Genomic DNA, 21668 nt, shown 5'->3' with positions numbered 1-21668 from the left:
ATGTCAGCTGGTTAAAAAATAATCATCATTTAGAGAAATAATTTTTAGCCTTGTTCGTGCTATATTGAAAATGGGAATAGGATAAGATCCTTCAACATTGGAAGCTATCCATGGGTTCTAAATTAAAAACTAGAAAAATATTAGCAGGCTCATCTTTTTTCACTAATCTACTTTTTTGCTTTTGAAGAAGTACTTAGAATTAAATGTAAAGGGAATACACTTCCACCTCTCTAATAAAAGTGACAACTTGTCTTGGGCATTAGAAACTTGGAGGCAACTCCAGGGCTCTCCCTGGAAAATCAAGATCTTGAATCTGAGAAGTGCTGACAAAGCCCTCACAGGATCCCCAGCCCAGGGGTAAAGGAACAAGATGTTTAAAAATTTGAGCCACTTCCATTCAGCTTTCACTTTCTGACTATGATCCAAACAAGCAATAGCTTAGAAAACTCCCTCAACAATCAATTAAAGGCACTTTTAATGACCAAACACAGATAAAATGAAAACTAATCTCAAAATTAACCAATTTTTTTAAAAAGGCTGACAACAGTAAAAATAAGTTAGTGGGAGCCGGGCACGGTGGCTCACGCCTGTAATCCCAGCACTTTGGGAGGCCGAGATGGGCGGGTCATGAGGTCAGGAGATCCAGACCATCCTGGCTTACACGGTGAAACCCCATCTCTACTAAAAATACAAAAAAAATTAGCCAGGTGTTGTGGCGGGCGCCTGTGGTCCCAGCTACTTGGGAGGCTGAGGCAGGAAAATGGTGTGAACCCGGGAGGCGGAGCTTGTAGTGAACCGAGATCACACCACTGCACTCCAGCCTGGGCGACAGAGCAAGACTCCATCTCAAAAAAATAAAAAATAAAAAAAATAATAAGTTAGTGGGATCTGGATATAAAGTTTTTTATTTTATATAAAGGCAGGTTCAAACACTATTACAATTGCTACATTTGTAGCAATAAATGTAGCAATCGTAATAATGAACTCAGTGTGAAATGTGTCAGCTTGGGCTCCATAACAAGATATCACAGACTGAGTGGGTTAAACAACAGACATTTCTTTCTCACAGTTTTAGAGGCAGAAAGTCCAAGATTAAGGTCCAGCAGTGTCAGTTCCTGATGAGGACTCTCTTCCTGGCTGGTAGACAGCTGCCTTCTTGTTGTGTCCTTACAGCAGAGAGAGAGAGAGATAAACTCTGGTCTCTCTTTCATGTGAGACTTCTAGCCCTATTGGATCAAGACCTTACCCCATGACCTCATTTAACCCGAATTATCTCCATAAAGCCCTTACCTACAGTTACATTGTGGGTTAGGGCATCAACATGTGTATTTTGAGAGGACGCCATTCAGTCCAAAGCATGAGGCTGCACTGCAAAGCCTGGGCCAGCAAAACCCACTGGAAAAAAGTGAGCACAAGGCTTAGTCTGTACAACCTGAGGCGTGAGAGCACCTCCAGACTCAGGGGCTGTCTCCAAGTGAGTCCCAAGGTGGAGGCTCTGGAGGGAGAGTCACAATCCCCCAACACCCCTCATGGCCCATAAATGCCAGCTTCCCCCTGTGCTTCACAAACCCAGCCTACCTTGAGGATATGCAATACTTCAGGCCAGGACGGAGAGTGAAGGAGGGACAGAGGTAACCAGAAGTAATTCCGTGGAGAGAAGTTGGAAGTGATGATTTCCAAGGAGAGAAAGATTGGATGGGAAGAAAGGGTTCCTTCCAGTTGGAGGAGAAAAGGTGAAAAGCCGTGTGCTGGAATCCTACTCAGCAATGAAAAGGAACAAACTATTGATCTATAAAACAACCCAAGGCATTATGCTGAGTGCAAAAAGCCAATCTCAAAAGATCACATACTCTCTGAGTCCATTGATATAACTTCATTAAAGTGGCAACACCATAGAAATGGAAGTCAGATTAGTGGTTGCCTGGGGTTGGGGTGCTGGGGACAGGAGGGTGGGCGTGACTCTCAGGATGCAGCACAGGTAGATCTTTGCAGTTATGGAACAGTTTGTATCTTGCTTGGCGTGGAGGTTGCCCATATCTGCACATGTGATAAAATGGCATAAGTAGTATATACACACACGGTACCAGGCCAGCTCCTAATCTTATGCTATCATTACGTGGGATGGAACCGTTGGGAGAAATAGGGTGAAGAGCACCCAGGACATCTCTGTACTGTCTTATCAACATCCTGTGAATCTATAATTATTTAAAAACAAAACTAAATCTAAGGCTAAATGCCTTGCAAACACCCAAATAAAAAGTCATCTGCAGAGTTTCAGTGGCAAGAGAAAGAGTTGCCACAAGAGAAGAAAATAAATTTGGTTGAATAGAGCAGAAACTAAGATAATAAAGTTTAAAGAAGCAAACAAGAGGACTGGTGGGTGAAAGAGGTTCTTTTCTTTTTTAAGACAGAGTGTCGCTCTGTCACCCAGGCTGGAGTGCAGTGGTGCAGTCTCAGCTCACTGCAGCCTATGCTTCCCAGGCTCAAGCAATTCTCCAGCCTCAGTCTTCCATGAAGCTGGGACTACAGGTGCATGCCACCAATGCCCAGCTGATTTTTGTATTTTTTGTAGAGACGGGTTTTGCCATGTTCCCCAGGCAGGTCTCAAATTCTGGAGCTCAAAGCAATCTGCCCGCCTCAGCCTCCCAATGTGCTGGGATTACAGGCATGAGCCACCATTCTCAGTAAAAAGAAGTTCTAAATGAAGCTTGCCCAACCCACGCCCTGCATACAGCCCAGGATGGCTTTGAATGCAGCCCAACACAAATTCCTAAACTTTATGACATTACGACATTTTTTGTGATTTTTGTTTTAGTTCATCAGCTATTGTTAGTGTTAGTGTATTTTAGGTGTGGCCCAAGACAATCCTTCTTCCAATGCGGCCCAAGGAAGCCAAAAGATTGGACACTGCTGTTCAAAGTTGACATAGAAGAGTTTGGACTTGTTATTTCCCATGTGAGTTAGTAAAACTTCCATGAACTTTCTCTTACACATATTCTTGCAGTTGGGCTGATAAAATTAATTTCCATTATGCAATCTGCTGCCCATAAACTGGCTTGCAGCTTTATCTCTATTCCTCCTTTGCTTTGATCCAACAGCCCCCACATTCTTGAGCCCCATTTGTTGCAAAAATAAAAGGTAATGCCCTTTCTCAGAAACGTCTTCTAGGGAATTTGACAAAATGTTATGAAACCCAGAAGTCATAGGTCCTCCGGAAAAGCTGAGGATAGCAGCATTTCATGGCATCTGTGACAGCAGCAGTGCCAGACCCGTTGCCATTGGCCCACCTAGGGCATGGATGCATGTCGTGCACTGAACAATTGCCCACTGGGAGAGGCTGTGCTCTGGCAAGAATTCCAGTGGGGACACTGCTGTCCAGTTGATGATTGCCAAAGAAACACCCTTTACTCCCCGTCTCTACTAAAAGTACAAAAAATTAGCCAGGTGTGGTGGTGGGCGCCTGTAGTCCCAGCTACTCGGGAGGCTGAGGCAAGAGAATGGCATGAACGCGGGAGGCGGAGCTTGCAGTGAGCCGAGATCGCGCCACTGCACTCCAGCCTGGGTGACAGAGCAAGACTCCATCTCAAAAAAAAGAAAAAAAACACTCTTTACTTCCTCATTTATCCATCCAGGATGTCCTGTCTATTTGTTTGAAAATGATGGGAAACTAATGATATAGAACATAAATATCTCTTCCTTTCATAGAAAGACATATCTGAGGAGGGACTGAAGAGGGAAGGCAGGTTCCAGGTACAATCTGTCAGCACTACTGCTGGCTGTCCTCTGCAGCCTGGAGCTGCTTTCTTGCACAGACTGTCCAATAAACTTAAACAAACTTCAACTACATCCTGGCTATTTTTTCCCATCAATGTAAACCTCCGTCCTGACAGCTTTTACAGACAAAATCAAGTCTTCAGGTATTTTATTTCCTCAGTGCAGCTTTCCAGGGGCGGAGCTTCCAGCCTGGCCCCACTCCCATGAGGTCACCTGTCATCCTCAGGACCTCAGTGGGTTGAGTCGCTGCAAGGCAGAACATATACTAATTTACCGTTCTGTGCAAAACTGGAAAGAATATTGACGCTCAGAGCTGGAGACCATATGCTCTTCTCATTACACATTTAATTTTTTAAAATATATTTTTAAATTTTGCAGGTACACATCCAAGCTAAGAAAGCCCATTGACATGATCCTCTTGGTACAAATACCACATGTTCACTGGAAGAAATAGAATAGAAAACCCAGCCTGCAGCACACACGGCCCAGGGCAGTTACTTCCAGCCTACTTTGCTGAAGCATCTCATTAGAACAACATGAGCGAGGTTTTGGCCCCTTCCTGAGACACTTACGCCATCTATCTAATCTCGTTTCATCCAAATGTCCTTAAGAAGCAGAGACCAATCATTTATCATTTAGTATCATTGTTTCAGGAGAAGGGATATAGGGCAAGTCACTTATTCCTTTTGCTTCCTTTTTTTTTTTTTTTTTTTAAGGAGTCTTGCTCTGTTGCCCAGGCTGGAGTGCAGTGGTGGTGCGATCTCGGCTCACTGCAACCTCCACCTCCCAGGTTCAAATGATTCTCCTGCCTCAGCCTCCCGCATAGCTGGGGTTACAGGCGTCCACCACCACACCCGGCTAATTTTTGTATTTTTAGTAGAGATGGGGTTTCACTATGTTGGCTAGGCTGGTCTCAAACTCCTGACCTCAGGTGATCCACCCACCTCAGCCTCCCAAAGTGACGGGATTACAGGCATGAGCCACCGTGCCCAGCCCCTCTTTGCTTCTAAAACATCAATCAGCTCCATGTGATGACTCCTGCTGTTTTATGGTTTGTATAAATGTATGGGGTGCAGGTGTCATTTCGTTACCTATGTGGATTGCACAGTGGTGATGAAGGGCTTTTAGTACCCACTCCATTTTCTGAGTCTACAGAAAAATATATCTTACCGTGAACTTGGTGCTTCTTTTCTATGCTGAAAACAGGCAACCGAGATAAAATGAGGATAGAAGATGCGTGATCTGCAGATAAACAAAATGGAAAGACAGCTTATTCACTTACTCTGCAGGCATCTACTGAGCATCTATGTTGTGCACGGCACTATGCTAGCTTCTGTAAGGAATAGATATGTCAATGGTGCCCGGCCTCCAGAGCTTACAGTGTGGTAGGAAAGAAGACAACCTTGGAAAAAAGATACAATGTGCTAATTCTCCAGTGGAGCGAAGATGTTGTGTGGTACACAGATGAGAGATTATCCATCAGGATGAGGGGGAAGGAGGCCGCTTGTCATCAAAGTGCTAGATCCTCTGAAGCTCGGCTTCCTCAGCTGACAACTGGGATGATGAATTTGTTTCTCTTAGAATTTGTTTGAAAATCACTGAGGCATCTAGCACAGTGCCTGCCTCTCAAAGAACATTGGTTGGAGTGGATGATGTATCAGTCGTAAGAATCATGAGTGATGTGAATGATGTATGATAGGGTGATCAATCCTGAATATGACTTGAACAGAAGAGAGAGAGCTCCCTGTCAGGGGAGGTAATCAAAGAAAGTTTCACAAGGAAAAGGGGGTGAAAGCTGAGCCCTGAAAGATAAGGCAGAATTTAAAGATGAGGGGAGGGAAGCAGGAGTCGACTAGGGGAGGGTATCTCATGGCAAGATGGAAATGTCATTAGTGAGGGACAGAGACAGGAAGGCAGGTGGTGTTTTCGGTGAGCAGAAATGTCTGGACTGGAGAGGGTCCTAATGGGAAATGGAAGGTCCTGTGAGTCAGCGTCAGACTCCAGAGAGCCTTGAATGCCAGCCGAGGACCCGAGGATGTCAGAACTCTCCAAGCCCTAGAGATCACCTTGTCTAGCCCTTCCTTTACACACGAGGAAACTGAGACTCAGAAAACTTATCCAAGGCGACGTGGGTAGTCAGTCTCTCGGATAGCTGTCGTGTTATTTCCACCGTGCAGTGGCTTTCTAATTGGGTACTTTGGAACCCCAAGTTTCCCTAGAGAGTCCTCAGCAGTCCCCATATGGTAAGGGGGAGAGAGGAAGTTGAGACTGCTAAGAATTTGCCAATCAGATACACCGGGTGATTGCACAAACATTTCACCCGGAACTTTAAAAGATTCTCCTACTTTTTTTTAAAAAAGCGAAAAAACTTCACTTTACAATAGCATGTTGTTTGGTCTTTATATTTTTTTGGTAGAACGGAGCCTTTGAAGATTTTCAAGTACTCAGATAACACAAGTGAAGCACTATTTCAGAACATGCAGGCTGGCTATGTTTATGAGCAGTAAAAACAAGAGACTCGCAATTTAGGTGTGAATGGAGGTCAAGTCCCTGGGAAAGCCTCCTGGAAAATCACGCGTTCCACCATGTTTTCTGTTTTAAAGAACCTTAGGCTCCTTAAAATGCCCTATAACTCATGGTTACTTCATAAATAAACATCTAGCTGATGTAAGAATAACCGGTAACTACTCCAGACACCCAGGGGACCTGTTACTTTTCTAAGTTAATGTTTAGACTCTCCTGTTTCTTAATGCCCTTGACAGGTTTTATTTAAGTTTGAAAAATATCCAAGTTTCTTTCCTGTCTTGCCAGTGTTCATTTTAACTTCTTAGGCAGAAAGAACAGGAGAAGGAACAGTGCAGAGAGGAATGTACATATGTATGTATGTGCCAGCTCAGAAATTATTAGATGGACCTTGAATTAAATATTGCTCCTCCAGCAGGTTTGCAGGAGCTGAGGGTAATTCTCTTCACTCAGATGCCTTGTAGAGTCCAAAGCTGACTGTCTGGGACTAGTTTCTATTATACCTGAGTCCCCACAATGCTGGAATCATTCTAAGAATGCAGCTTTGTAAGAAATCAGACTGGAGTGATGGATAATTGATCAAATGACAAATTATCACTGACTCTATGCTGTTGGGTGTAACAGACCAGGAGTTATACTGCACAAATGCGTGCGTGTGTGTGCATGTGTTCCTGTACGTGTGTGTATGCGTGTGTATGCCTGTCCGTGTGCGTGTGCTCACATTTGTGTTTTAGTGGGTGTGCAGGTGTATGTGTTCATGTCCATGTGCATGTGTATGCATGTGTTCATGTGTATGTATGTCTGCACGTGCTCACATTTATGTGCATGTGTGCCAGTGTGTGTTTATGTCCATGTGTGTATGCCGTCACATGTGCCTGTCTGTGTGCACGTGTGTGCCTGTCTATGTGCGTGTTTGTGTGTGTATTGCTGTCTTATAAATCGTCACATCAGCCCTGTTAGGAGGGCACTTGGCTTACTTTACAGGTGAGGAAACTGACTCAGGTTTGTCAGTTGCCTAAGGTCCAATTAATAACACAGGGCAAAGCCGGTTTCAAATCAGGTCTATGCACCTCAGAAGATAACGTGTCAGACTCCAGCAAATTTAGAAAGGCTTCTTCAAGGGAGAGTGCCAGGACAGGTTGACTTTAGTCAGTCCTGATGAAGGTGAGTAGAAAAATGAGGTTAGAAAAGAAGGGGCTGGTGCACCAGGAAGCACCACGACCTCCTGATGCAAAAGGGTCATCCCTGGAGACCTCAGGGCTCCTGCTCTGCTCCCTTTCAGCTCTTCGTGCGAGAACCTGAGAAGAGGCTGGGCGTGAGGGGAGACATCCGCCAGCACCCTTTGTTTCGGGAGATCAACTGGGAGGAACTTGAACGGAAGGAGATTGACCCACCGTTCCGGCCGAAAGTGGTAAGGACTCGCTCATGGGCCGCTTGGTGTCAGCCACTCTCCCTCCGCTCAGGGCCGTCTGCCTGTCCAAGTCACCGCAGCTGCTCACCCCTGCCGGTGCCCCAACTCCCCACCAGCCCCACTCTCCAGGAGGAATGCACGTCTCTAACACATGTTACTGGGCTGGTGGGGCAGGGAGGGGAGGTCACTCTTGTTTGCAAAATTTAATCTCTGTCGTCAAGATGCGCCTGCATGAAGAATGGATTGCTGTGTGTCCACGCCTTAGGTTGAATATGAATTTGTGAGGGTGACTATTAAACAAGATGGGGGTTGTGCACATGACACATACGTACTTAATGGTCCAGTCTGGGTAACCCAAACTTGGACATAAACCCTGCATCCTACGTCAGGAATTTTGGAGCTGTTTTTTCCATGATGTTTATTAAAGTATCTGTAAAGTGCTCATATAACGACATTTCCTAAGGGTAATTGTTAGGTGTTCTTTGGTTTAAGGGAGAAACTAACTAAATCCGTGCTTTAAAAAAGATAGGTCTGTACATTTCCATTTATGTCCTCACTGGCAAAAGTCATTAAGCTACATCAGCAAAGGCAGAATGACCTGGCTCACCTGCGAGACGGGCCACCATAAAGTGAAGTCAAAAATAAAGCAAGGTTGGGCTGGGCATGGTGGCTCACGCCTGTAATCCCAGCACTTTGGAAAGCCGAGGCGGGTGGATCACCTGAGGTCAGGAGTTCGAGGTCAGCCTGGCCAACATGGTGAAACCTTGTCTCTACTAAAAATACAAAAATTAGCTGGGCATGGTTGCGGGCGCCTATAATCCTGGCTACTCGGGAGGCTGAGGTGGGAGGATTGCCTGAGCCCAGAAGTTTGAGACTAGCCTAGGCAACATAGTGAAACCCCATCTCTACAAAATTAAGTGGGCTTGGTGGTGCATGCCTGTAGTTCAAACTCCTCAGTAGGCCAAGACAGGAGGATTACTTGAGCCCAAGAGGATGCAGTGAGCTGGGTTCACACCACTGCACTCCAGCCTGGTGACAGAGCGAGAGACTGTCTCCAAAAATAAAACTTTTTAGAAAAACAACAAAAAAAAGTCATTAAGAAAGTAAATTTTAAGTTATGTATATCACAATTTCTAAAAATAATGATTTTTAAAAGAGTAGAGCAAAGTTGTGGGTTTGCCAGCCTTAACCATTCCCTGTGATTGCCTGGATAGACATGGGCCATATCCGTGCTGAAGGGGGCCAGGCTCATGGACTTCCCAACAGATTCCACCCCAGAGAACGCACAGGCTATTAGTCATGATAGCGAATGGCCAGAAGAAGCAGGTGCATCTCATTCCCAGGGCAAGAATAGTTGTTCTCAACATCTGTCCCAAGCTCCAGTGATGTTCCAAGGACCCAACAGGCCAGCCTCAAGCACTCTAATTACTTGTGACAGAACCACATCTAATACGTGGGTTAGTCATTTGTGATAAAATAAAAATTTTACCTTGTTTTTAGCTATCAGAACTATTAAACCATGTCTCACCTTCCACTGCAGATTAAAATTGACTTAATATTTTGCACATAAAAATCAAAACTTTGATCTAAGCTTACCCTAAAGGACATTCCCAGTTCTGCCAGTAGGAAACTTTCCCTGACCTGTGGTCTGAGCTGCCATTGACCTCACAGCCCCAGGGCCCCTTGGAGGGTGGGAGGGGCCTGGTTCTTCATTTCGCTTCTCTGTGTTCATAGCACTTTCTGTTGATAATGGTTGTTCTCAATCTTGGGACACTGAATTGAACACCATACTGAACAGCATGTATGAAATAGATGTTTGCTTTCCCTTTCTCTGTTGTTTGGTTTGGTTTTGGTTTTTTTGCCATGAAAACCAATGGACCAAGTGGTCTGAAAGGAGTCTGTCCCAGTCTGTGCTGTCTAAAAAAGCCCAAGATACTTACTAATAAAATTAACAAGGGCAGGGGACTGACAACAGCCAAGAACGTTGATAAAAGAACAGGAATATGTAATTGTGAAATTCCTTCTCTCTTCCCATCCCTCCGCTCACACCCCCTCACTCCCTCTCCCCACCACCCTCCCTTATCCCCACCTTGTGTTCCATGAAAACTGAAGAGGCAGAGGTCAAATTCAGGTGGATCACTTTTTCAAAGGTTGCCAACCCTGCTTCATGTAAACCATTAGAAACATTAGATCCCATTTGAATGTCTACAGTCGTAGTCTTTCTGTGAATTTATGAATTTATATTATTATTAAGCTGAGGACACAGGATCACAGCCATGTTCAATGAGAGCTGGGCATGGTCATCTGTAGGCATTGCCTCCATTTAGTGTCTCTGCAAACACCAACTTTGCCATACGCAGATCACGGCCTAGATAACAAAAGTGAAGATCATGAACTTAATGGCTGATTTTTCTTCTCTTTCTTTCTTCCCTTAAACTCTGACTAAGAAATCACCATTTGACTGCAGCAATTTCGACAAAGAATTCTTAAACGAGAAGCCCCGGCTGTCATTTGCCGACAGAGCACTGATCAACAGCATGGACCAGAATATGTTCAGGAACTTTTCCTTCATGAACCCCGGGATGGAGCGGCTGATATCCTGAATCTTGCCCCTCCAGAGACAGGAAAGAATTTGCCTTCTCCCTGGGAACTGGTTCAAGAGACACTGCTTGGGTTCCTTTTTCAACTTGGAAAAAGAAAGAAACACTCAACAATAAAGACTGAGACCCGTTCGCCCCCATGTGACTTTTATCTGTAGCAGAAACCAAGTCTACTTCACTAATGACGATGCCGTGTGTCTCGTCTCCTGACATGTCTCACAGACGCTCCTGAAGTTAGGTCATTACTAACCATAGTTATTTACTTGAAAGATGGGTCTCCGCACTTGGAAAGGTTTCAAGACTTGATACTGCAATAAATTATGGCTCTTCACCTGGGCGCCAACTGCTGATCAATGAAATGCTTGTTGAATCAGGGGCAAACGGAGTACAGACGTCTCAAGACTGAAACGGCCCCATTGCCTGGTCTAGTAGCGGATCTCACTCAGCCGCAGACAAGTAATCACTAACCCGTTTTATTCTATTCCTATCTGTGGATGTGTAAATGGCTGGGGGGCCAGCCCTGGATAGGTTTTTATGGGAATTCTTTACAATAAACATAGCTTGTAACTTGAGATCTACAAATCCATTCATCCTGATTGGGCATGAAATCCATGGTCAAGAGGACAAGTGGAAAGTGAGAGGGAAGGTTTGCTAGACACCTTCGCTTGTTATCTTGTCAAGATAGAAAAGATAGTATCATTTCACCCTTGCCAGTAAAAACCTTTCCATCCACCCATTCTCAGCAGACTCCAGTATTGGCACAGTCACTCACTGCCATTCTCACACTATAACAAGAAAAGAAATGAAGTGCATAAGTCTCCTGGGAAAAGAACCTTAACCCCTTCTCGTGCCATGACTGGTGATTTCATGACTCATAAGCCCCTCCGTAGGCATCATTCAAGATCAATGGCCCATGCATGCTGTTTGCAGCAGTCAATTGAGTTGAATTAGAATTCCAACCATACATTTTAAAGGTATTTGTGCTGTGTGTATATTTTGATAAAATGTTGTGACTTCATGGCAAACAGGTGGATGTGTAAAAATGGAATAAAAAAAAAAAAAGAGTCCTCTTAATCGTTTACTTCCCCGCTTGCCCCCCACAAGAACTTGCTTCTGCTGTGTCAGTCCTCAAAATGTAGCTAGCATTGAGATGATGTTTTACAGTTGGGGGATTGGCTGGGCACGATGGCTCACGCCTGTAATCCCAGCACTTTGGGAGGCCAATGTGGGCAGATCACCTAAGGTCAGGAGTTCGAGACCAGCCTGGCCAATATGGTGAAACCCTGTCTCTACTAAAAATACAAAAATTAGCCAGGCGTGGTGGCGGGGGCCTATAATCCCAGCTACCTGGGAGGCTGAGGCAGGAGTAGAGTAAGACAAAGGGTGAGGAAGTCAGATGACATTAAGGCAATTGTAAGAAAAGCAAGTCTGCATAATATTCGGAGTCACTAGCCTACCTCATCACATGGCTGGAAATAACTTTAGATATTATATTTAAAATAGAATAATTAATATAAGCAGACTGTTGACAGTCTGCAGGTGTGCTGGAACATTTTCCTGACTATACGGAGCTCTTGTGATTTTTTTTAAATAGACACTCCCCTAAAATGAACACGAGTAACCTCATTTAAGGATGGGCATCTATCTTCAGATGTGTCCATTCAGGTGTCCGGGCCCTTTGTTCTGAAAATAGCACCATGACTACAAACCTCTAGTTATGTGAGAAGGCGACACTTGTCCTCCCCTTGCTCCAAATGAAAATGCTCACACATGTTTACCAAATTCACCTGCTTGAAGGAGGGAGAGGGTCCTTTAAGGCCCTGGATGGGCCAGTGGAGGGCAGGGAGCCGCCCGTTCTGTTCTGATCTCTGCTCTGCTTTGCATTTGCTGTGAAGCCCTGAACAAGTCATTTCATCTTTTGGGGCCTCCAAGTAATGGAGGTGAAGATGCTGTCTAAAGTCCCGTCTCACTAGAGTGATGGGGTCGGTGAAGACGCTATCTAAAGTCCCTTCTCACTAGAGCAATGGGGTTGGTGAAGACGCTATCTAAAGTCCTCACTAGAGCGCTTTCTGGTTCTAAATCTGAATCAAAATCCTGCAAAGTTAAAAGGTCAGTGAGCAACACTTTCCAAAACACAGACACTCGTGGATTCCACTCGCTGCAGGCCTGGGGGCAGCTCTACCCCATTTTCCTTCCAGTCGTCCTCTCCTCACTCTGGGTTCCCACATACCCCTGCCCCAGCACCCAGCATCCTCCTGACACCCAGAGACCCCAACAGGACCCCTACCAGGAGACAAATAAGTGAAGACTGTTGGCTCTTAGAAACAGGAACCAACGCAACTTTTATCCCCTCCACTAGACCAAAATAAGGTCTATTCATCATTTGGTTTTGTTTGTTTTATTTTTTATTTTTTTGAATTAGAGACAGAGTCTCCCTATGTTTCCTAGGCTGGTCTTGAACTCCTGGACTCAAATGATCCCCCTGCCTCACTCTACCAAAGTGCTGGGATTACAGGCCTCATCATTTGTTTTTAATAAATGTCATCTGTATGAATATGTCAGGTGACTAACAAGCTTACTATTTGCTTCGTATTTCTGAGTGTGCGAAGTACTTGTTACTTCCTTCTATTCTTTCAGGTGTCCTCTGAAATTGCTTATTAATATCCCTATTTAATAGGTGAGAGACCTGGCCAGGTGCGGTGGTTCACGCCTGTAATCCCAGCACTTTGGGAGACCCAGGCAGGCAGATCATGAGGTCAGGAGTTTGAGACCAGCCTGACCAACATGGTGAAACCCCGTCTACTAAAAATACAAAAAATTAGCTGAGCATGGTGGCACGCGTCTGTAATCCCAGCTACTCAGGAGGCTGAGGCAGGAGAATCGCTTGAACTCGGGAGGCGGAGGTCGCAGTGAGCTGAGATCGCGCTACTGCACTCCAGCCTGGGCGACAGAGCAAGACTCTGTTTCAAAAAAAAAAAAAAAAATAGAGGAGAGACCTGAGGCCCAGGGAGACCATAAAGCTTACACTAGAGGGTTGACCAGTGGAGACTTGAACCCAGAACTCTTAGCATCAGATCTTGCTTCATTCCAGAGTGCAGGGTTTCAGCGACATCCACCAATCAGCATCTGATGATTGTTCACTAAAGTTTTAAGTGGACTTCCTAATTCAGGGCCACACCTGGCTTACCTGTCCCCCTTCTAGGGGACGCAGTGCGGGGGCCAGTCTCTTCGATGCCGGTCCTCTCATCACCACTCCCAGTTCCCCTCCACTTTGCACTTTAGCCTAGACTCAACCTTGCCAATAGAAATGAGAACTTTACCTCAGGGTATAGTTAAAGGTTTTGGAAAAAGAGAGATCAGTGCTTCTTTTTGGAAGATACAGACTGAGAGTTTGGCTGAGAGCTCCCTGTGCACGAGAGGCTGGCCACAGAGAGAGCATTGACCAGGATTTTCTCAGATCCCGTCCAGCAAGACCATGCTTAGGAGAGAGGAAGAAGTCGTAAATCAGCCAGAGAAGAAGAAATGCCTTTGTTACATCATAAAACTGCAGGCAGGGGTCTGAGCTCTCAGAGCCTCTGTCTCCAATGGACCCATCAATGATGGCCAACAGAGGAAGCATCAGCCTTAAACACCCACAGACCGGGAACATCCCAGAACCCACTCACAACAATGCAAACCAAGGAAGACTTCTCCTGCCACCTCTCTCCTTTCTCTGTCCTTTCCCAACTTCGGGGAAGAAGGAGCAGAAACCATGGTCATCGGACTGCGGAAGGAGAGGACTGAGCATGGGCGGGTGAGAAGTATGAAGACGCTGACCACGTGCCTTCCCCACCACAAGCCACCAGCACTGCCCTCTCGAGCTAGATGAGAGGACAGGGTCAACTTTAAATCGGTTTTCAATTATTCATGGCATTGCACATGTAAGTTACAGAAATGAATCTTGAGGGAGCAACTGAAGGACATGTCTAATGTCACCGGAAAGGTCATGGGACCTCTGAGATTTCAGCCAAAGTTTGGAAGAATGAGCCCCACAGAGCAGGTCTGAATGGATGGTGGGCGCAAATAATAAAGGTGTTGGTTTGGTTTGGTTTTGCCCCGAGAATTTTGCTTGTTTACACACAGACAAGCCCTAGAGTGACAGTGATGTTGCTCTTGGTGCCACAGCTACACAGGAGATTTCTTGCACGTAGGGACCACGCTCTTTACCACCGAGCCTACCACCCTGGCAGACACTCCTCCATCACGTGCATTTGTTGAGTGAGTGGGTGAATAGGATGTGGGTGAGCACGTCTCTACAATCCTCTGTCTGTGTGGGGCCTGGCACACGAGAATGCCTGGTGGAAATTACTTCGTCCTACAGGCACTACAGGATTAACTGGACTTAGGTATCAGGTCCTCTCTCCTGAAGAATTTTAGACAGAGGCAAAAACCAGATGGCCAAGAGAAGAGGCATTTGGTAAAGACCACAAGGCAGCCAAAGGGATGGGCAGCAGAAGCCAGGAGGTAGGGTCGGTCACAGTAGCAGAGACACAGGGTCGTCCTGCCACCGCAGTGTGGGTGACTCAAGGAGGGCTAAGACTAGCAACTTCCAGTAAGTTGCTCTCACTTCCCGGAGTTACTGAGGGGTCCCCAAGGTGCTGGGAGTCTTGCAGGCAGCCCTCCAGTCAGTCCTGTGTTATTCCTCTCTCTGACTCAGGGAACCATCCTGATGGGCAGCAGCCCCCAGCCGACGGCAGGCCGGGGAATGAAGCCACTGGCTGCTCTCCTTCCCTCAATGCCGTCTGCTCAGTCTCCTGGAGGGTCAGTGATGAGGGAAGGAGCCCCAACTTCCTTGTTTCTCCCTGCGTCCTAAATAAGTCCGGAACCCAAAGAGACTGAGTGTGTCCCTGGGGCATGCGTGTGCCTGTGTGTGTATATCAGAGCAAGACACCACACTGCCGTGAGCACCAGGCTGGCTGACTCATTGTTCCCTACATGCCTGATGTCTGCTCCTGCTCTAGGGCTTTTGCTCATTCTCTCCTACCAGGCTGAAAGGGCCAACACATCTCATAAACAACCCCAAAGCCAACCCACCCCAGGCCTGGCTGCAGCATCAGCCTCCTGCCTTTGCTGACCACACCAGCTGTTGCTGTCCAGAGATGCCTCCCACCTCTATTTGTCCTCTGAAATAAGCATAGTGAAGAGCTGGGCCAAACTCCCAGAGCCCAGAGATATTTGGAAATGGAGTAGGCGCCACCCAAGTTTGTTTCTGTACAGCACCCAACTCACTGTCTGAGAAGGACCCTCAGAGGTTGGCAGCAACTCCCACCAGGGGGTCATCTGAGAGGCACAGTGACCACAGTGATCAATGATGTCTCACCATGAGGACAGGAAGGAAATGCCCAGCCAGGGAACATGTTTTCTGCCCCCAGCTTCTGCCTTCCATGTCGTTTCTTCACTCTACTGCGGATGAAGCTTTGACTATAAAATATGCTGTTGGAATGCACCAACTGCCCTACTCCCAGGTGGCAGAAGGAGAGCTCAGTTTTCCTTCTGGAAAATTCTTGCAATTACCAGGTACTGGGTGAAGTGCTTTGTGTATATTACCTCATTTAACCCCTGACGACAATCTCTGAGGACAGCATCATTGTCTCCATTTTATCAACAAGGACACTGAGGTTTGGAAAGATTACACATCTTTCCCAGAATCATAGAAGAAGAGCTGGAACTAGATCCCAAGCCTGTTTGATGACAAAGCTTGTCCCTCTATCACCATAAGGGGAGGGACAGCAAGTGGGTTATGGAGTCAGGATGCCCGGGTCACACCCAGCCTCACCCCCGATGTGGTGTATAACCTTGGACAAGTCACTTAAACACTCAGCCTCAGTCTCCTCCTTTCTAAAATGAGGACCAAAAAATAAAGACAAAAAATAAAATAAAATAAGGACAATAATAGTGCTAGCCTCACAAGCCATATGAGAAGTGAATAACGCCATCTATGCAAAGCACTTGGAAGAGTACCTAATGTGGAATAGGTACCCACTAACATAGTATTATTATTTTATTGCTGCATCCCAACATAAATCATTTAGAGACCTCTTTCATAGGAAAAATAATTCTATCTGATTGATCACAAAGAAAGGGGGTATCAAACCTAAATATGAAGAAGTAAAAAATAAAAACTTCTGCTTTATTTTTCTTATACAGCTATAAAAGCAAGATACAATTTGTAAAAGTTAATACAAAGAAAACTACAAAAGTAATAACACTGACAGAACAAGACTGATTTTATGGTGATGATGACATTACGAGGCTAAAACTAAACGACTACCCTCCATGTCAATGTGTCTTAACTACCATGGTGTGGTTTCTTCTGAGTTCAGCACGGTTAGATGAGCACACATGGTGCAGTGACTCGATCTATGCACCACCTTTCTCTACTGGAACTATCAAGGAAGAGCCAGCTGTGCAGTGTGTCTTGATGTCATTCAACCTTCATTTGTCAAAAATGCTTAAGTGCATCTAGGCTTTTTCTTATAGCACATGACAAATTAATACCATTGGTGGAAATGAAGTCATGAACAAAATGCACCACAAACTCTGAATTCTGACACCGTCTAACAGAACTTTCTGCTGTGATGGAAATGTACCACATCTGCACTGCACAGTATGGTAGCCACTAGCCACATGGAGCTATTGTTGGCTTGAAATGTAGCTGAGATGAAGAAACTGAATTTTTCTTTCTTTGAGACAGGCCTCACTGTGTCACCCAGGATGGAGTGTATTGGCACAAATACAGCTCACTGCAGCCTCCACGTCCTGGGCTCAGGTGATCCTCCAATCTCAGCCTCCCAAGTAGCTGGGACCACAGATGTGCACCACCATGCCTGATTAATTTTTTGAGTTTTTGTAGAGACAGGGTCTCACTTTGTTACCCAGGCTGGTCTCAAATTCTTGGGCTCAAGGGATCCTTCCCCCTTAGCCTTCCAAAGTGCTGGGATTACAGGCATGAGCTACCATGCCCAGGCTACAACAATTATTATCTTCAGAAACACTAAGGATGTATTACATTCACATTCCATCCATGAACTAGACCAGGGGCTATAAAAATTCAGAATGTTAAAGAAACTTCCCAAAAGTAGATGAAAACTAGAGCTAGAAAATGTTGGGAGAATAAACAAATTAGAGTTTCAGTTCCAAAGTCCATGTCTAAATAATAATAATTAGAGAGGAAAAAAAGATCAAAGGGGAGGAAGTCATGAAAGACATAGTATAAGAAAACTCCCCAGAACTGAAATACATAGGTTTTCAATGTGAACAGACTATTTTGGTGTCCAATAAAACAAATGAAAAAAAGATCTACACCAAAGAATATAATTTAAAAAATGTCAGAACACTAGTGATGAGAGAGAGAGAAGTTTTTCTGAAAGCCTCCCATAAAAAGCAAAAGAGGCCACACACAGTGGATCAGGAAAATGGTATTGGACTGCTCACAGTAACAAAGTTACAAGACACTGGAACGATGTCTTCAAAATTCCAAGACAAAATAAATTTGAACATACAATTCTATAACTAGCCAATCTATGATTCAAATGTTAGAATATAATAGAGACATTTTCAGACAACCAATTTCTCAAAAAAATTATCCTCTGCCTACCTGCTATTGAGAGGATATATTTTACCAAAAAAAAGGCGGGAGTGAGGAAATAGGTCATCTCAGGGGAGGGAACTGAAGCAAGAGAGACAAAGACACAGGAACCTGGAAACCAAGGATCCCATGGAAGACTGACTGAAACAAAGGAAGTTCATGCAGTGATTATGAAAAGAAGTTAACGCCAGCAGCCGTGCCATAGTGGTAAAGTCTAGAGAACAACCAGTCAGACGGCAAGGGAGTGGAGCGTCCACACAAAGCAGCTCCCTTAGGGAAGAAGCCCAACTCACAGATTCGAAGGCATGGTGTGTTTAAGTGTATTAAAAGGAGATTTCGAGGCCTAGGCGGGTGGATCACGAGGTCAGGAGTTCGACACCAGCTTGACCAATATGGTGAAACCCCATCTCTACTAAAAATACAAAAATTAGCCAGGTGTGGTAGTGCGCACCTATAATCCCAGCTACTCAGGAGGCTGAGGCAGGAGAATCACTTGAACCCGGGAGGCAGAGATTGCAGTGAGCCGAGATCGCACCACTGCACTCCAGCCTGGGCGACAAGAGTGAGACTCTGTCTCAAAAAAAAGGAGATTTCGGCTGGGCACGTTGCCTCACACCTATAATCCTAGCACTTTGGGAGGCCAAGGAGGGCAGATCATCTGAGGTCAGGAGTTAAAGACCAGCCCAGCCAACATGGCGAAACCCCGTCTCTACTAAAAATACAAAAATTAGCTAGGCATGGTGGCATGCACCTGTAATCCCAGCCACTTAGGAGGCTGACAGAGGAGAGTCACTTGAACCCAGGAGGTGGAGATTGCAATGAGCCAAGATGGCGCCACTGCACTCCAACCTGGGTGACAGAACAAGACTCTGTCTCAAAAAAAAAAAAAAAAAAAAAGGAGATTTCAGTTCTGTCAGAGATTTGAGAGTGGGTGATACACAGAAACCCAAGCATATTAATAACTATTTTATTAATTCCAAATAAAAGAATACTTTGTCCAGAAATGCAAAGATAATTATAATACATTAAATGGATCCACTGTGAGTAATGATAATGTAAATGCCAAATTAATCAAACTGAGAGTTACAACCTGACTGAGAGAATGGGGGAGCATGGAGGGTATGTGTGTGGGGAATTGATTAAATAAACTGTCATCTTCCTCAACAGGAAGTCCAAACATCATCTCAAAATTTAAACATTAGGAAAGAGCAAAACACAAATCTACTTAAGATACGGTAAGGAGAAACAACTAAAGGATTTTTAAATTATGTGTATTTATTACTTTGAATACACAAACACTTAATGTATACGTACACACACGTATACACATATGTACACACACATAAATAGATTTGATGATAAATATAAAGATATAGACAAATAGAGAGATAGAGAGATAGACAGAAGTAGATAGTTAATGGATAAGATAGATATAGAAAGGAGATAAATGGACGAATGGGTGGATGATAGATGGGTAGAAAAATAATACAGAGGTAGATGATTGATAGAATAAATAGATGATACATAGATAGAGATAGATGGATGATAGGTAGATAGATGATAGATACATAGATAGCAAGATAGATAGATAGATAGATAGATAGATAGATAGATAGATAGATAGATATTAGATAAGATAGATATAGAGATGAGATAAATGAATGGACAGATGGATGGATGAGTAATAGATGGATAAACAAATAATATGGAGACAGATGATTGACAGAATAGATAGATGATACATAGGTAGATAGATGGATGATAGATTGATAGGTAGGTAGGTAGACAGATGATTGATAAATAGACAGACAGGCTCTCTCCCTGGAAGGTTGACAGTTCCTTGAGCTGGGACTGAAAAAGCACAGGAAATATAACTTTATCAGACACATTTAGAGGGTTTTTGAGCTGAGGTTTCAGTTATGATGGATCAGTCGCCAGGCTTCCCTCTGACTCTATGGTCCTGTAATTAGCCACAGGAGTTTGGGTGGAAAGGAGCACTGAGGGCTCCTGAGCTGAATGCCAGGGGTCGGGTGAGGATAGGGAAAGTCTCTTAAGGAGTGGTGGGCAGGTATTCCTTCCTCTTTTCTGTAGTAACACATGAGAGGGGGAGAAAGCAGGGGAGGAAAGGATGGAAACAAAGAAGGAACCAGACTTTGCTTTGCTTTCCACCTCCTGGGGACGTCAGAGCCGGCCCAGACTGATCTCTGCCATGAAGGAGCACGGATTCTTCCCAGTGTCCTAAGCCCTGCCTATCAGCTCTTTGTCATTCATCAGCATCCACTGGCAAGAGAAGAATGTCAAGAAAGTTTAGTGATCTAAGAATTTTTTTCCAAGCCTCAGAGGTTTTAGAGATGCATCTTTTCCTTTCTTTTTAATACATCCAAAGGTTCTGCGACTTCACAGGTGATATTTTAAAATACAAACAGCAACACGTAATGAATTTTAAATCAAGGATGTTGTTATTTGGAAAAAGTCAGTTAGAACTCTTGCTGTCAAATACGCTTTCAGAAGAAACAAGTTTTGGAGGAGCCTGAGAAGGCTCATAAGACAAGAAGACGGGCATCTGGGAGATGACGGAAGAAGGCGCGCCTCTGGGAGATGGGGGAAGGAGACCCATGTCTGGGAGATAGCGCCTCTGCGAGTTGGTGAAAGAAGGCATGCCTCTGGGAGGTGGTGGAAGTGAAGGGACTTTTGCTGGGAGCAAGCACTGTTGAGAAGCTGGAGATGTAGGAATGACATTAAAAATCTAAAGTTACTTCAGCCACTAGAGAGCCAAGGGACATGGAGTGACAGGAAGGACTCCAACAGAACTCACTGTTTCCCTTCTCCCAGCATGTCCTGGCTGCTCACCTGGCTGGATACTCTCACCTGGCTGTGCACCTGGATTCTCGACTGAATGTTCACGTGGCCACTCTATCGTCCAGCTAAGGCAACATTGGAAGCTCAGGGTCTAAGGCAGCCACCATCGGGGAAGATGCCAGGACAAGCATGGATGGATCAACAGATTCTGAGCATCACGCTGGCATCGTTTTAGATCGCACGCATTCCGAACATCAGAACAGTTACGTCAATTCGAATTTGGGGTTTGACCGAAATTGAACTTGAATGTGGATTATCTAAGTAAAATCTAGAGAAGAAAAGAATTTCTCTGCAGGTGCATGTAATAATCACCACAAGGTTATTGTTTTTTGTTTTTGGTTTGGTTTTTTTCCAGTGCTGCAGGCTTTAAGAAGCTCTGGGTGTCCAACCAAAGACACAAATCTGAAAAACAAGTGGAAAATCTAACTCCAGCAAAGCCTACTCAAATTTCAGTCAGTATTTCAAAATAACAACTGATGACATCCACCCAACAGAAACTAGAAACTACCCACTTTTAACTGCCCCTGTTTTCCTCCTCGACCCTCTCCTCCTCCCACTTAAGGACAAGACACCTATTTCATGTTGCCATGGAAATTGTGCTTTTAAGGTTTTCCTGAGATAACATTGGTTATATGGTGAGGTGGAGACCTCTAGTGTCCCAAACTTGTATTTCCTTTAAGAATACATTACAGGAGTGGTGTCTAGGATGGTGAATTTATCAAGAGGAAAGTTGAGCCTGCTGACCAGGTCTGGCTATAAAATGACCAAATCCCAGAGTGAAATAAGAAGAAGAATCATACCACCTTACTCCTGCAAGAATGATCATAATTTAAAAGTCAAAAAATAATAGATGTTGGCAGGGATGTGGTGAAAA

General features: G+C 44.7%; 1 protein-coding gene across 9 annotated transcripts in view, besides 2 other annotated features; it reads left to right on the top strand.

Moving 5' to 3' along the window:
• The window catches only part of PRKCQ (protein kinase C theta), a 186550-nt gene that overhangs the window by 142129 nt on the left and 22753 nt on the right, over window positions 1-21668 (top strand). For 4 of the 9 annotated variants that reach the window (NM_001323265.1, NM_001282645.1, NM_001242413.2 and 1 more), the window contains 2 exons: window positions 7580-7708; window positions 10156-11375. In NM_001323265.1, coding sequence (NP_001310194.1) covers window positions 7580-7708; window positions 10156-10311 — 285 coding nt within the window. In that variant the 3' untranslated portion in view covers window positions 10312-11375. Of the gene's footprint in view, window positions 1-7579; window positions 7709-10155; window positions 11376-21668 lie in introns of those variants that run through there. The other 5 variants (NM_001323266.2, NM_001282644.2, NM_006257.5 and 2 more) reach the window with 2 other exon arrangements.
• Window positions 5555-5724: an enhancer, noted in NCBI's record as "experimental_13978 CRE fragment used in MPRA reporter constructs". NCBI's record gives its function as "activates a minimal promoter by MPRAs in K562 erythroleukemia cells, with activity observed for both the introgressed and non-introgressed 10:6474841 or rs944712 variant alleles {active_cell/tissue: K562}" and the evidence as "EXISTENCE:reporter gene assay evidence [ECO:0000049][PMID:34662402]".
• Window position 5639: a transcriptional cis regulatory region, noted in NCBI's record as "Neanderthal adaptively introgressed variant 10:6474841 (GRCh37/hg19 assembly coordinates) or rs944712 in the experimental_13978 CRE". NCBI's record gives its function as "modulates activity of the experimental_13978 enhancer by MPRAs in K562 erythroleukemia cells {active_cell/tissue: K562}" and the evidence as "EXISTENCE:reporter gene assay evidence [ECO:0000049][PMID:34662402]".

This window comes from Homo sapiens, chromosome 10 (assembly GCF_000001405.40).
Source record: "Homo sapiens chromosome 10, GRCh38.p14 Primary Assembly".
NCBI classification, from domain to species: domain Eukaryota; kingdom Metazoa; phylum Chordata; class Mammalia; order Primates; family Hominidae; genus Homo; species Homo sapiens.
This window is presented reverse-complemented; position numbering and strand designations above follow the sequence as displayed.